A 16058-nucleotide genomic window follows, 5' to 3' on the forward strand; every position below is an offset into this window, starting at 1 on the left:
CTTAACAAACCCTGTTCCTGGGTAGGGTGTGTGATGGTTTGTTAGATTGAGATAGCATCATTTATGAGGCGAGGGTGCTTTATGAAGTGGGCCCTATTTTGTCCTTTTGTACTAGGAGAAATGTTAAATAGATAGAAACCAAACTGGATTACTCCAGTCTGACCTCAGATCAGGTAGGACTTTAATCATTGAACAAACGAACCCTTAATAGCAGCTACACCATTAGGATGTCCTGATCCAACATCGAGGTCGTAAACCTTATTGTTGATATGGACTCTAGAATAGGATTGTGCTGTTATCCCTAGGATAACTTATTCCGTTCATCAAATTAATTGAATCAATGTATGTTAACTCGCTTAGACTAGTGAGGTCTTAGTTTACGTTGTTTGGAGGTTGAAGTATGCTCCGGGGTCACCCCAAACAACATTTTTAATGCAGGGATAGTAGGCTAGGGCCTGTTGGCTTGTTTGAGTTTTTATTTGTATTAATGAATTAAAGCTCCATAGGGTCTTCTCGTCTTATTTTTTTATATCCACCTCTTCACAGATAGGTCAATTTCACTGATTAAAAGTAAGAGACAGCTGAACCCTCGTGTAGCAATTCGTACAAGTCCCTATTTAGGGAACAAGTGATTATGCTACCTTTGCACGGTCAGGATACCGTGGCAGTTGAACATATGTCACTGGGTAGGCAGTGCCTCTAATACTGGTAATGCTAGAGGTGATGTTTTTGGTAAACAGGCAGGGTAAGATTTGCTGAGTTCCTTTTACTTTTTGTAAACTTTCCTTAGAGCATGCCTTTGTTGAGTTAACAGTGTAAATAATAGGGTGCTTATTATATCGTTTATTAATATTAGGCTGTTAACTGTCAGTGGGTTATTCTGGCCTGATGTAAGCTTATGCAATGGAGAATGTCTTCATGTTACTTATATTGACATTATTGCTTCTATTAAATAATAGATTAGTCCAATGTGATGTTAGGAGTTCAGTAGAGTGATTAGAATTTAAGATAGTTAGATGTTGAGCTTAAATGCTTTCTTAATTGGTGGTTGCTTTTGGGCCAACTATGGTGGTAATATTTTTTACTCTCTGTAGGAAGGTTGTTTCCTAGGGTCTAAAGAGCTGTCCCTCTTTAGACTGACAGTTAAACTTACTGGGAAATTAAGTAATTCTGTGGGTAAGTTTAAAGTTGAACTAAGATTCTATCTTGGACAACCAGCTATCACCAGGCTTGGTAGGCTTGTCACCGCTACTCATGAATCTTCCCACTATTTTGCCATGTAGGTGAGTGTGCTCTTTCAGCTATTCTTGGGTAGCTCATCTGGTTTTGGGGGACTTGGCTATAGTTCTCTGTGTAAAGTATTTCTAGTTAATACATTATGCAGAAAGTATAAGGGCTTGTCTTTGCTTTTTAGTGCTTGATATAGTTCTTTCATCTTTCCCTTATGGTACTATGCCTATTGCGCCAGGGTAAAAATTTCTGTTGCCTAAACTTTTTTCTAAGGTAAATCGTTTGATTAAGATAGTTTAATAGTATTTTTAGCGAGGTTTGGGGCTAGAGTTGGCTCAAAGTGATCAGGTCACAATGAAATCTTCCAGGTGTAAGCTGGATGCTTTGGTTTAAGCTACACTTTGGTTTGTCCAAGCGCACTTCCCAGTATGCTTACCATGTTGCAACTTATCTCCTCTATATGTGCATAGAAAACTATTAGTAATAGTGATTTCTAGAGTAATATTTGAGGAGGGTCACGGGTGGTGTGTGCATGCTTCATGGCCTTATTCAACCAAGCACTCTGCTCTTGGTTTACTGCTAAATCCTCCTTGAGCCCTTAGATTTCCTAAAGGATGTTGTGAGATTTTCTGGACATAGAAAATGTAGCCCATTTCGTGCCACCTCATGGGCTACACCTTGACCTAATGTTTTTATGTGTGTACTTGTGCTTACTTTGTGACCTTTTTAGGGTTTGCTGAAGATGGCGGTATATAGGCTGGGGGCAAGAGGTGGTGAGGAGCACCAGGGTTTATTGATTATAGAACAAGCTCCTTTAGAGGGATATAAAGCACCGCCAAGTCCTTTGAGTTTTAAGCTGTTGCTTGTGGTACTCTGGTGAATGGTTTTGTTAATATAACTATTAGAGTTTAGGGCTAAGCATAGTGGTGTATCTAATCCAAGTTTGGATTTTAGCTATTGTGTCTTCAGGATATTAAAGTCACTTTCATAGTATATTTTATGTCAGCTGGAGTTTTTTACAGCTTAGATGGAGCTTAGTTTTATTGAGGGTAGACCTTAAACACTCTTTACGCCAAGTTCTATTAGCTCGAGTTAATCTTATGGCCGCAGTGGCTGGCACAAAATTAACCAACCCTAAATATTAGTATGGCTTGGTCAAACTTTCATTTATTACTAAGGATTTATCACTGCTGTTTCCCTTGGGGATATGGTTGAGCAAAGTGTTTTGAGCTGCATTCATGCATGTTTGATACCTGCTCCTTTTGAGCCGGTGATCCAGAGGGCATTTTCACTGGGGTGGGGATGCTTGCATGTGTAATCCTACTAAGAGCTAATGAAAAGGCCAGATTGTTTATCTGTTTATCTACTAAAAGACATCTTGGTTGCTCTGATGTTTTCGCAAAAATTATAAATGAAGCTACTAAAAACATCCATGTGCAGGTTTTTGTGTAGATACATAGTAATTTTTAAGAGTGTAAAATTGTCAAAAATTAATCAAAGCTTGTAAGAAACATTGATCTAGTATGTCTATTGTCCCAGGTAACGCTTGTATTTCACGGCCTTCTTTCCTTTTTTTGAACCAAAGCAGAGGATTTGGTAGGTCTCTCAAGCATTATGACTAAGAATATGAGAGAAGTAGATTTTATTAATGAAGATTTTCATACTTATCTGAAGCATTTTTTCTGCATTTTCTGCTGAAGCATAAAATGACTGTGAGAGGAAGCCCTTTTGCCTTGAACTAAACCTCAGGAAGGCCAATGATCTGTGATAAATACCCGATTTGCCTGTCCTTCTTGTAGCTTCCAGAATGAGAACAGAAAAGCTAGAACCGGAAAGAGACTCAGCAGATACCCACTCCACCTCATTTGTTTTGTAAATATAGGAACTGCAATCCAGAAAGGCTATGTGTTTCCTGTAAAGTCACATGACGAAGTTGGCACATCTCAATGGGAACCCAGTTTCACTGACCCACTGCCTCTTCCTTTTGTACCATATGTCTTGAAATAGCTTTAGTTTTAAAATTTCATTATTGCTTTCTGACTTTATAATGGTGTTGACCTTAATCTCATTGCAATTAAATGACTTCTTCTTTCACATGATTCCTTGTGGGTAGAATTACACACAATTACTGCAGTACAGCATAAATTCCAGAGCTACTGTTAACTTGAAATGATGAGTAAGTACAGGATGACCTTTGCTGATCAAATATAGAAACAGAAGAGGTACCCCAGATTGTGAAGAGGGTAAAGTTGCTCAACATATTCATGTGTATCTATATATGTTCAGGCCTGCAAACTGTGCAAGCTGTGGGGGTCACTGTGAGTTCACATGTTTGATTAACTTATACAACTTTTACCTTGACTCTTTTTTTTTTTTTTTTTTGAGACAGAGTCTCGCTCTGTCACCCAGGCCAGAATGCAGTGGTGCAATCTTGGCTCACTGCAACCTCCGCCTCCTGGGTTCAAATGATTCTCCTGCTTCAGCCTCCCGAGTAGCTGGGGTAGTACAGATACGTGCCACCACACCTGGCTAATTTTTTGTATTTTTAGTAGAGATGGGGTTTCACCATGTCAGCCAGGATGGTCTCGATCTCCTGACCTTGTGAGCTTCCCGCCTTGGCCTCCCAAAGTGCTAGGATACCTTGACTCTTAAGTTTTCCATTTCCTTTCTTATTTTTCTTCCATGACACAATAAAGACTAAAATACAAATCCTCTGCAGAAGCTATATCACATAAAGCATATGCATTATTCTTGAAAAATTATGCAATTTTTATCATTGAGAATAGTATGTTGAAAATAAACTCATTTAGTTAAAATAGGGATAATCACTTCAGCTAAAGATTTCTTTCTATACAAACCAATTTTGTTGTCTTATGGTCACAAATTGGATTTCTAACCTGGAGCAAATTCTCACAGTCATGTAATTGATCATAAAGTAAATTCGAAAAGTGAGAAAAATTAGAATGCATCTAATGCTATGACTAGAAACAAACTCAGAAATTTATCTCCCAGTGTTTATATGACCATAGTAAAAGCTCTGTACACATGTGACTGAGTGTAACCATTAGGCAAATGTTGAGGATGCAACACTAAATGATGTGCACATTTGACATTCAAACTTTTGGTTTTATTGGTATTGACTATCAAATAATTTAACTCAGAAGATAAGTTTACTTTGAAAATTAAAAATCCCAATGTCTTGTGGGCATGTGTGTGCATGTGTGAGTATGCAGTGTGTATACTGGAAAATTGCCAGTGTTTCACCGTATGTTCTCAAAAACCAGTTATTTTGAATAGCTGAAAAAAAGCATCCCTGCACCTTCAGGTAGTCAAGTGATCTTATTATTATACTGCATCTGATAAATCACTTGGTGCTATTGTGGGCACAAGTATATAAAAAAAACTGGCACTCCTCCTACCTTCCTTTGCCAACACATAAATACCCATAGAAACTCAATATTATCTTAGGATGAAGACCAACACATTTTCTCTGAGATTATTTATACTACTTATATGGCCAAAAATTTTTTTTTGATAAATATCCTTGGTTATTTTTAGTGATCAAGAGGCTCACTCTGTTCTCTACAGAAATTCTCTCTTCAGAGCTCAGATATCTCTGGTGGGTTTCTCATACATTGAAATGGGGCAGTAACACTTTTTCCCATTAGTGGAGTTCAGTATAAGGCTATTGCATCTGGACCCCATTGCAGAAGGATCAGTTATCCAGATGACAAATGTACCGTTTTATAAGGCAGTCTCCCTCAGAGTTTTCACTAAAGTTAGAGTTATAGAGATGCTTTGAGTACCAGTTATTTATGCTTCTCTGTCTTTCTTCATCAATAATTATGTATGTCTATATTTAATATTAATGAAGGTGTATAGTTTCATTTCCCTTTTTTTTGGAGAAAAAGTCTTACTTTGTCACCCAGGCTGGAGTGCAGTAGTGGCTCAACCCTGGCTCACTACAACCTCCACCTCCCAGGCTCAAGTGATCCTCCTACCTCAGCCTCCTGAGTAGCTGGGACTACAGGCACATGGCACCATGCCTGGCCAATTTTTTGTATTTTTGGTAGAGATGGGGTTTCACCATGTTGCCCAGGCTGGGCTCGAACTCCTGAGCTCAAGCAATCCACCTGCCTCGGCCTCCCAAAGTGCTGGAATTACAGGTGTGAGCCACCACGCCCAGCCTGAAGGTGTGTAATTTCTACAAGGACCAGAAAATGATGCATCCAGCCTATTGGGTGGTTGTATCCAAGACTATGCTATTTCAATCAGTGGAATTATTGTTTAGGGTCTTCAGAACTCTTAAACACGTCAATAAACTTGAAGATAAATACAACATTAAAATGAATTATAAAATTTTTATCCTTTTTCATTCATTCAAGTACTTATTGTCTACTTACTTTGGGATAATTACTGTCATAGGCACTACAGATCAAATATAGATTTTTTTTTAAAGACATGGTCTCTGCTCTCAAGGAGCTGACAGTCTAATAAAATTCAGAGGCCCCCATGGCTAGGAATCAAGCTTGTCAGACTGCTTGGTTAGCTTTTTAGTTCGTGTTTTGGGGAATTATCTTAATACTTTGGCTATATCAAGGCTTAGTTAGAAGAGGTATCTTGGAGCAGGAAAAGTAAACAAGACTGAATTCAGTGCATTTATTTTATAATTTACCAAGGTCTAGCCCTACCAATATTCTCACTACTGTCTTTGCCCTAAAGTTGGTCAGAAGATATTAAAAGCCAGAGGATAGAAATATATACATATACATGTATAGAGCTGTACTCTACTCAGGACACAATTGTAAGAGGATATCATTCCATCTGTAAAACTATTTTCTTCAGAAAAGCAAGACAACACATTCACTGAAGGTCTTTGACATAAAAAAGAAGTCCTCTAAGGAAAGTTTGATGGTCTGTAATATTTTTATTCACTGTTTGAAAGCTATTATAGCAGTCCCAAACAGGTCCCAAAAGGAGGGGGAACAACGACTTAAGTATCACCATTGCTACAGCAGAGACACATATGAATACCACTCGCAGTATTTAGCCTAAAAAACCATGGCATGTGTTTCTTCCCTCTCTAGCCCCGCCCATGTCCACCTCTTCTTTGTGGCTATCAATCTTCCTTAATGCAATCATTTAGGTAAAATGAGCTGCTTTGCAGCTCCACATGTTGGTGTTTACAGCTCTTTATGAGCCAATAGGATAAATATCTATGGACATTGCAATATCTCTGCTTGGATGGACGTTGATGATATTGAAGAAAACGGTAAGTTACTGAGGGGAAATCAATCATGTGTACATATATGTTGATGTCTTGCTGAAGTGAAATCATTAGGCAAGAAGTGAATAAACACCAGGACTCCCTTTATGCTTCTAGACTTTGCATAAAATGAAGCAGGGTGATAATAATGGCAGTAGTAGTGGCCAGGAAGAAGGGAAGAAGGAAAGATCAGACAATGGTTTTAACAAGACAAGCAACAGTTTCAAAGAGAGCATATGCTTACTCAAGGGGGAATTATTGTTAGGTTTGGATTCCAGGCAAAAAAATTATCTTCCCTCCAAAAGGCTGTGGAATAATCATAAACACCTCCATCCTCTCCTCTCACACCATCTCAATGCAGAGACTCTGTTCTTGGGAACCTGGGAAGCCTGCAACCCAGGCTCTCCAAATATTGGGCTTCAAGAAACACAGGACCTCTTGAAATTATAGTCAAAATATGTGTGTGTGAATGTGCATTTTCCACTGAAAAGGTTTATAACTTTCATTAACTTCTCACAAAACACTCTGAGTCTCAAAGTTCAAAACTACTGCTATTGATAAAACATTGCTTTCAGAGAACACACATATAAAAAGGATTCAGTAGGGATCAGGAGTAGTACAATATTACCTAACCTGATATTTTCAGAATATAATTTCCACATAAATCACTGGATAAAGAGAAATTACTTAGAGACTGCCCTTTGCACAAAACATAAACAACTCCTTAAACTCCATACTAAGAGTTCTGAAGCTGGAAGTAGTTACCTTAGAGCAGTGGTCATGAGATGAGCAATTTGGAGCCTAGAAAATTAGATTTAAAGTTGCCAGATCACTGAGTCCCTTAGTGGCTCTTCATTTTTGTGGTGTCGTTTTTTTTTTCTTTTTTGAGACAGAGTTTCACTCAGTCGCCCTGGCTGGAGTGCAATGGCTTGATCTCGGCTCACTGCAACCCCCTCCTCCTGGGGTCAAGTGATTCTCCCACCTCAGCCTCCCGAGTAGCTGGGATTAAAGGCATCCACCAACATGCCCGACTAATTTTTGTATTTTTAGTAGTAACAGGGTTTCACCATGTTGGGCAGGCTTGTCTTGAACTCCTGACCTCAGGTGATCCACCCACCTCAGCCTCCCAAAGTGCTGGGATTACAGGTGTGAGTGACCATGCCTGGCCATTTTTGTGTTTTAAGGTATCATTTGTTGGGCACCTACCATATGCCAGTAATTGAACTGGACACTATATGTACATTAATTTACACATTTCATTTTCATGGGTAACACAATGTTTAATAAGCTTGTTCCTGATTCTTGGGTGTTTTTCCAGAGACCCTAAAAGCCAAGAATAAGTAAACAATCAATGGCAAGCACTTCCACAGCACAAAGCAAGGTTCTGGTTCACTGATACAAGACAGACTACAAAACAGTAAAAGCAAATCTTCATTAGCCAATCACTCACCTCCAACCTTCATGAGAGAGCTAAAAAGGCCAGTGATTTTGGTGGGGATCATTTCGGAGTGAGGTGCTGATGTGCCTTTGACATTCCCTGACTCACCACCACCCTTCCCCATAGAGGAAGATGGTGGAGAGCTTCACTCTCACCTGTACCAAGTGAAAAAGAGAGGCTTCAGGAACATTCCTTAGAGGGTTTAGCATGTGTTCCGTAAGGCTGGGGAGTTCCAGGCTGAGGCTATTCTTGCTAGGAGAAATCTAAGGTAGGAGGCTGTCTGTAGCAGAAAGATCAAGGGGATGTGGTACGGAGAGCAAGCCACACTTGTATTCATGGCATGGGTCTTTGCCATGGACCAGTTGTGGGCTTTATGGAAGAGAGGTAGCCTGGGGTTGTTTGGACAGGGACTCTACCTGAGAGGACTATCTGGAGATGTGATAAATATCACAGAGGAAAGAATCCCCAGAAGTTCAAGTGTTGAATGGAGAAACATAAATGCCCTTATAGAGGAGAGGCGTGGCCTGCCACACTAGAAGTGCATTCTTATGTCCTCGGTGTGGAATCTGAGAGTCTGCTTTGGACAACATGTCTAATGGCCAATACCACTTGACAACTGTATCCATCAGGTGAGACATGTTTCTCTCTTATCTTTCTTATTTTCTACATACCATGTGGGAATATACCAAAGCACTGTCACATAAGTAGGGAAGGAGGTAAGGCAAGGAAGAAAAAGCCCACTTTGCCCCCTTTTTTTGTGTAGGCTTTCAGTCTTGCAGCAGGTTTGAATTGGTGCTGGAGAGAAGAGTAATTGGACAAGAGCTGAAGGCTTGTTATTGTGGTGGATAAAACTAGATTGGACTTTTAGATAATCTAAAAATAATGTGACTATATACCCTGATTTGCATAGGCCATCTTTGATTTCACCTGATGCCCTTGTGTAGATAATAAATAGCCATCCTTTCACTTTCAACAATGAGATGATTTGGATGATAATTTATACGGTCACTCAATCCCAGAGCGATTCTGAAATTTATGGTACCTGATTGGAAATTTCATCCACTGATGGGAGAAACAAGCGAATATTCCAGTTACAAAGTGGAGATGGTAGGAAAGGATTGTTTCCTTTTTATACATAAAGTAATGTAAGAGGACACTGAATGAGAACAAAGGGGGAAATATGGTCATAGTGTATCATTAGAAAATATTTATAGTAAACTTTATAATTATCTTTCTAGATTGCAAATGCAGTCCTCCTCAAGAGACAGTCTTTATATCTTGATCTTATCTCTAGGTAAATATTATTTTCTATGGTTACATAGAGATATCAAGATCTATTGGAAACTCTTGATCATTACAATCAAGATTCTGGTGACCAAAATGGACAAAAACATGTAAGCAGATTGTGTTACACAATTTTTATCCAGAGGAGTTATTTCTATCCAGATGCATTTTTCATTACATAAGAAGACAAGAAAACCGAGAAAAACTCTAAAAAATAAATTCTTGCTCAGCTAAATTATGCTTAGAAAATATCCTGTCATTTCAACTAAAAATATCTTGTTTTTTATGTATGGCTATTTCCCTGAAAATGACATTAAAAAATCATGGGAAATATATAAATATTTTAGTCGTATATTGCATAGTAAAAGTATAATTTATCATAGAAACCACTCACTTCTATCAAAATAGTCTGAGGAAACAGGTGTAGAATAGATTATATTCCATTTAAAACATTGCTTGCTTTATTGTTTTTAAATAGGCTTATGTGAAACTCCACCCGCTGGGAAAAAATGAAATCAGGATGAATCATACATCCAAAGGTCATTGATCTAAAAATATAGGTCTTGTAAAATGAATAAACATATTCTATTTTGTGAAAGCATCAAGTGAGAGGATTTTAGGATCCTTCCAAATCATTGAAGTCTCCCAGGTTGTTAATTAATTTATCAGTAACAGAGGAGGCAGCCACTCTAGTGCCCTGTCCTCCTGGGGAAGCAGAGTAGATAAAAGGTGATCCTGCTGAGGAAGGATAGAGATCAAGGGCCTTAACCTCTCCCCAGGAGAGAGAGAGAAGCATATGTGCAAAACAGACAGGAAAGCTCAGCCCTCTCTTGATTGCTTCCATTGAAAGCAGACTTAGTAGGTCCTCAGGAAATACTGCCTATGATGATGAGAAGCATGCAACACTTCCGGGCCAGAACACAAAATTGACCAATGAAAACAGAACTAGTATTTGTTGTCATCCAAACATTAAACAAAATTCTGAAAAGAAATGAAAAACAGACATTTCTCATGTAGAGCCTTCCACAGTTTTTATGGAGAGGGAGAATGATATTAAGAATACCAGGGGTCTACCTGTGTTGCTGGAGGGAGCTAACAGGAATGTACTATTTGCCAAGTGTATTTTTCTTTTTAAATTTTTTAAACTGAGCCCTTAATCAGCAGACAACTTTCTTTGATAAGTATTAGAAGGTACATAAGGCTGGGCACGGTGGCTCACGCCTGTAATCCCAGCACTTTGGTCAGACAAGGCAGGCGGATCACGACGTCAGGAGATCGAGACCATCCTGGCTAACACAGTGAAACCCCGTCTCTACTAAAAATACAAAAAATTAGCCGGGTATGGTGGCACACACCTGTAATCCCAGTTACTCGGGAGGCTGAGGCAGGAGAATCGCTTGAATCCGGGAGGCGGAGGTTGTAGTGAGCCAAGATCACGCCACTGCACTCCAGCCTAGGTGAAAGAGCAAGACTCTAGTCTTAAAAAAAAAAAAAAAAAAAAAAAAAAAAAAAAAAAAAAGAAGGTATATAAGATGTATATTGTCGAGTTTTGGATAGCTTGATGTAAATAGCTGCCTTGCCTCACTGAGACCTTTTTTTATAGTGGTGCTTTGGTGTGAGAAAATAAAGAAAAAAGTGTTCTAAATGTGTTTTGATAATGCTGCTTATTGGTGAATAAATACACATATTTACAGTGGAGTAATCAATGGTCGGGGCAGTGAGATCTGTACACCCTGGATGCAGGCTATTTCAGGATATGCTGTCATTAGAGAATTAAAAACAATAATAAAACAAATAAAAGCCAGGGTGACTTTTATTACCACTATGTGCTGGTAATCATAAACATTAACAGTAATAAAATACTCTTCCTGGCCAGACTGAACCCCTCCCTCCACTGACTTCCTCACGCCAGGGGATGTGTGTATGTGTTTGTGTGTGTGGGTGCGTGCATATTTCTATAAATGAAAATCTGCAGGCACACTCACATATAATGACCCACGTAGAGATCTCATTTTGTTAAGAGGGAGCTTATTCACACGTAAAATGCTAGAATGACCCTCTAAAGTTCAAGTATAACCTGGTCCAGGACTCAACACTAGCTTGCCACAAAAGCTTGTTATGTCATTGAAAAGCTAACTTTTTTAAAATGATTTTTTTTAAAGAAAGTTTATAGCATTGATATCTTAACCATGAGCTAAATCTCCATTTAGTATTTGAAATCGTGCAGGATCATGGATGCAAACTAATTTTCCCAGTGTCACACATTTAGTAAATGATAAGGAAGGAAATTGAATTCAGGTCATCTGAATTTAATACTTTACTATGCTTCTAATAAAATATGATTATTTCAACAAAGTGTTTTGTTTTCCCAAACTCAGTAAATGATTTCTTTTTATTTAAATCTTATTAACTCTTAAATTAATAAAGGTAGGTGTTTAAAATTCACCTAGATTTCTTTGACTTATATTGAATCACGAAAAAAACTATGTTTAAATTAATTTTATTTAAATTCTTTTTTAAAAATTTCCTCTAAAAAAATGGGATACATGTGCAGAACGTGCAGGCTTGTTACATAGGTATATGTGTGCCATGGTGGTTTGCTGCACCTATTGACCCATCTTTATGGATAGAAGAATCAATATTGTGAAAATGGCCATACTGCCCAAAGTAATTTATAGATTCAATACTATTCCTATCAAACTACCATTGATATTCTTCACAGAAATAGAAAAAACGATTTTAAATTTCATATGGAATCAAAGAAGGCCCTGTATAGCCAAGACAATCCTAAGCAGAAAGAACAAAGCTGTAGCATTACACTACCTGACTTCAAACTATACTACAAGGCTACAGTAACCAAAGCAGCATGGTACTGGTACCAAAACAGATATATAGACCAATGGAGCAGAACAGAGACCTCCAAAATAACACCACACATGTACAACCATCTGATCTTTGAGAAACATGACAAAAACAAGCAATGGGGAAAGGATCTCCTATTCAGTAAATGGTGCTGGGAAAACTAGCTAGTCATATGCAGAAAACTAAAACTGTACCCCTCCTTACACCTTATACAAAAATTAACTCGAGATGGACTAAAGATTTTAATGTAAAACCCAAAACCATAAAAACCCTAGAAGAAAACCTAGGTAATACCATTCAGGACATAGGCATGAGTAAAGACTTCATGACAAAAATGCCAAAAGTAATTGCAACAAAAACTAAAATTGACAAATGGGATCTAATTAAACTAAAGAACGTCTACATAGCAAATTTTATTTAAATTCTAATCCAAGCTTTCTTTGTACATACATGAGGACTATCAAATTGCATTTCCCCAAAATAACTTGTGATTTGTCTCATTTGTTTATGCAGACATAAAAATAAAATACTCATGATCACAAGTGTCTATACACTTGCATGTATGTATGTGTATATATTTGTGCTGCCTATGATACACTTGATCAGTCAATAGCACATGAGCTCTCAGTCATTAATTTCTATAAAACTGGTAAAAAGTAAAGTTCAAGAATCTGCATTTTCACAGAGACTGTCAGCGCATAATTTCCAAAATACCTAATTGATAAATACAAATATCTAAAATGTTTAGTAAGGGAAAATTTGTCTTTAATATTGAATTCTTTTTTTGCTATAAAAACGGCCCTAATTTAATTAGTTTTAGAATAAACATGGGGATAATTTTGAATGTACTGATAGAAATATTATCTTACATAATCACCCTGATAAATACATTCCATTGTATTCATTGGAATACAATTGACTGATATACAGTTAATGGAGAAAATGGACATATATGTCTATGTCTTTATATCATTTTGTTCAGTGCTAGTGCAGGGTGCTGTGAGAACACAAGTGAAGGCCACCTATATCCAACTGGGTGTTGTAGAGTGTGGCCTGAAGTAATATGAAAGTGAAGGATTTAGCTAAAGAAAGAAAGAAAGGGGGAGTAGAGAAAATCGTGACTCAAGCAGAGGGAAACATCCCAGGTGATGCCATGAAGGTACGATGGAACATGACAAGGCTAAGGAAAGCAAGCCAGTTATATCTAAAACACAGGTTGCATGGACTAGTGTGGAGGAGTTGAGGCTAGATGACAGAGAGTAGACAGATGTAGTGTGTTAGCAAAAGAAATTTGAATTTATATTGCATCTATGGGGAAATAAGGCAGAAGTTGATAGTACACAACCCGAATCTTTTTTCTTCTTGGGTCATAGCTTGACTGTATTTCAGCCTCACTCAGAACAGGATGTAGCCATACGACTGAGTTCCAGGAATGAAAAGTGGCAGTGATAGGTGCCTCTCCTATGGGGGTCATCTTCTGTCTCATTTGGATGGCGATATTCTGAATAAGCTTGGCTGTCATGTGTTGAAGATGCCAGAGCCTCGATCAGCCTGACTGCTGCCAGTGTAACACTAGATGTAAAAGATGACATTACCAGTGCTTGGGTCATGACAGCTGGGTCTAATTGTTAAAGCAGTTTGAACAATCCTAAATTGGGAATAAATTGAAGGATTGTAATCTGGGTTGTATTATAATCCGATTTATATTTGGGAGCTATATCTTTGACAGGAAGGATAAGGATGGAAGGAATCATTTAGGAGGCTACTGTAGATAATCCATATTTGAGATGGTGAGGACTCAGACCAAGGAAGATGATTAGAGAGTTATATCTAGCCTGCCTTTCTTTCTTTCTTTCCTTCCTTCCTTCCTTCCTTCCTTCCTTCCTTCCTTCCTTCCTTCCTTCCTTCCTTCCTTCCCTTCTTTCTTTCCTAATTTTTTTCCTGGACTTCTTTTTAATTCCGAGGTAAGGTTGCATATATATGCCAAGTAAAAAGGCAATGGCAATTGGGATAAGTGGGAAATTCACAAACCCAAGACCTTTAGTAGGTAAATCTGTAAGATCTGGTGATTGATTGGGTGTGGTGGATGAATAAGGAGAAATCTAGAATGACTTACAAGCCTCTGGCTTCAGTAATTGGTTAGATACAGTGTAGGCAATTTAGAGAAAAGGCATTGTTAGGAGGAACAGTAAAAATGTTCTATGTTAAGCATGTTGACTTTGATTTGGCTGTAAATCACTGAGGAACCAAGGAGGATATGTCTAAAAGATCATTCTATTTGGAGTTCAGGCAGGAGGTCTGGGATGTTGACAATTTTGCACTGTCATTTCTGTATAAAGCAATAAAAACTAGATGATGAGATGGTACAGGTCCTCAGACTGGTGACGGGAAATAAAAATTTAAAGATAAACAGAATAAAAAGAGATAACATCAGAGAGTGAGAAGAAGTGAACAAGGAGGTTAGAAGGAGAGCAAAATAGCATGGTAGTGATCACCAAAGCTGAAGAGAGTTCAAGATCCAAAATTCCACAGCGAAATTAAGATAAGGACTAAGAATAATGCATTAGATAATACATCAAGGAGGTTATTGTTGACTTTATAAAGGGCAATTGGAAAGAAATGCTGGTGACAAAGCCTGATTGCAATGTATTGAGCAATGAATGGGTGGAAATGGAATCCAAAAGTACAGATACCCCTTTTAAGCAGCTAATAATTGGGCAATAACTACAGAGGAACTTTGCATCAAGAAAGATGATGGACTTTTTTTTTGGCTTTCGATTGAGAACCCATTATCATGATAATACTATAAAAATAAGAGAAAATTTTAAAGATATGGGGGGAGAGATGACACATGATGGAGTGAATCCCTAAACTCATGGGAGAAGAAAGGTGAATAGATTAAACTTGGGCAGGTAGTGCTGCCTCTTCCTCTGCTGAGAGAGAAGAAAGAAAGAATTGTAAGTTTATGCAGACTATGGAGCAAGCCCCCCTTTGATGGTTTATCTTTTCTGTTATATAGAAAATGAAACCATTTGCTATGAGAGGGAAGGCAACGTAGTAATGGATTTTGACCTTAAGGACAAAGTTTGGAGAAATCCCCTGAGAGTAGTGGGAAAGCACACTGACTAGGACCTAAAGGGAATTGCTAGGTTGCACCAAGGACCCAGGTGGAGTTGGATACCAAGCCTTTGCAGGGGCAACTACCTCCTCTCCTGTGTGATTTTTTTCTACCCTTGGCAGGATAGTTGGGATCCATTGGCAGAACAGTCATCTGACTGCTTCAATCCAGGGTTGAGGCTCACAGAGCTTTGTAGATGAATGAATAAGGTAGCAAAATATGTAAGTCATAATGAGCGAGATCTTTGCTAAAATGTCATGTGTGAATGTCGCTAATAATTTTGGCCTGTAAGCCTCATTGGATTGTGTTATATGCAGTGTGGAAATAATGCTTTGGCACATAGTATGGAAATTCAGTATCAAAGAGGCAAAAAAGAAAAGCCTGCCTTAATGATTGACTTCCAGTGTGTGAAACTTGATTTAAGATATAATGGTGTTACCAGTGTATTTTACTACTCTCTTTACAGTCTTTAAGAGCTGTCCTAGACTAACGTTTATCTGCTTAACAGATCTTCCAGAAGACAGCAGTGAATTCCATCCTGACGTGCTGGTTTGTCTTCTTATGAAAACAGCCTAAGTTCTTGAACTTGAAATGGTGATAACATATTTTCACTTTTCACATCTTATGGGTTTTATTTGGCTCCACTTTGCTCTTAGAAGGGGACAAAGCACCAGAGGGAATACACACATATATTTGAAAATTTTCCTCTTGGCTTTCTTAGTTAACCTACTGCTTATGATGCAAAATCACTGTATCTGATTTAAAATTGTTAGAGTGCAAAGCCTCATAATCATAAGAAACATGGTGCTAAGTTTAAACTGGGAAAGTACTTTACTCTCAGAGAAATATTCTATTTTGTT

This window comes from Homo sapiens, chromosome 4 (assembly GCF_000001405.40).
Source record: "Homo sapiens chromosome 4, GRCh38.p14 Primary Assembly".
In the NCBI taxonomy this organism is placed as follows: Eukaryota; Metazoa; Chordata; class Mammalia; order Primates; family Hominidae; genus Homo; species Homo sapiens.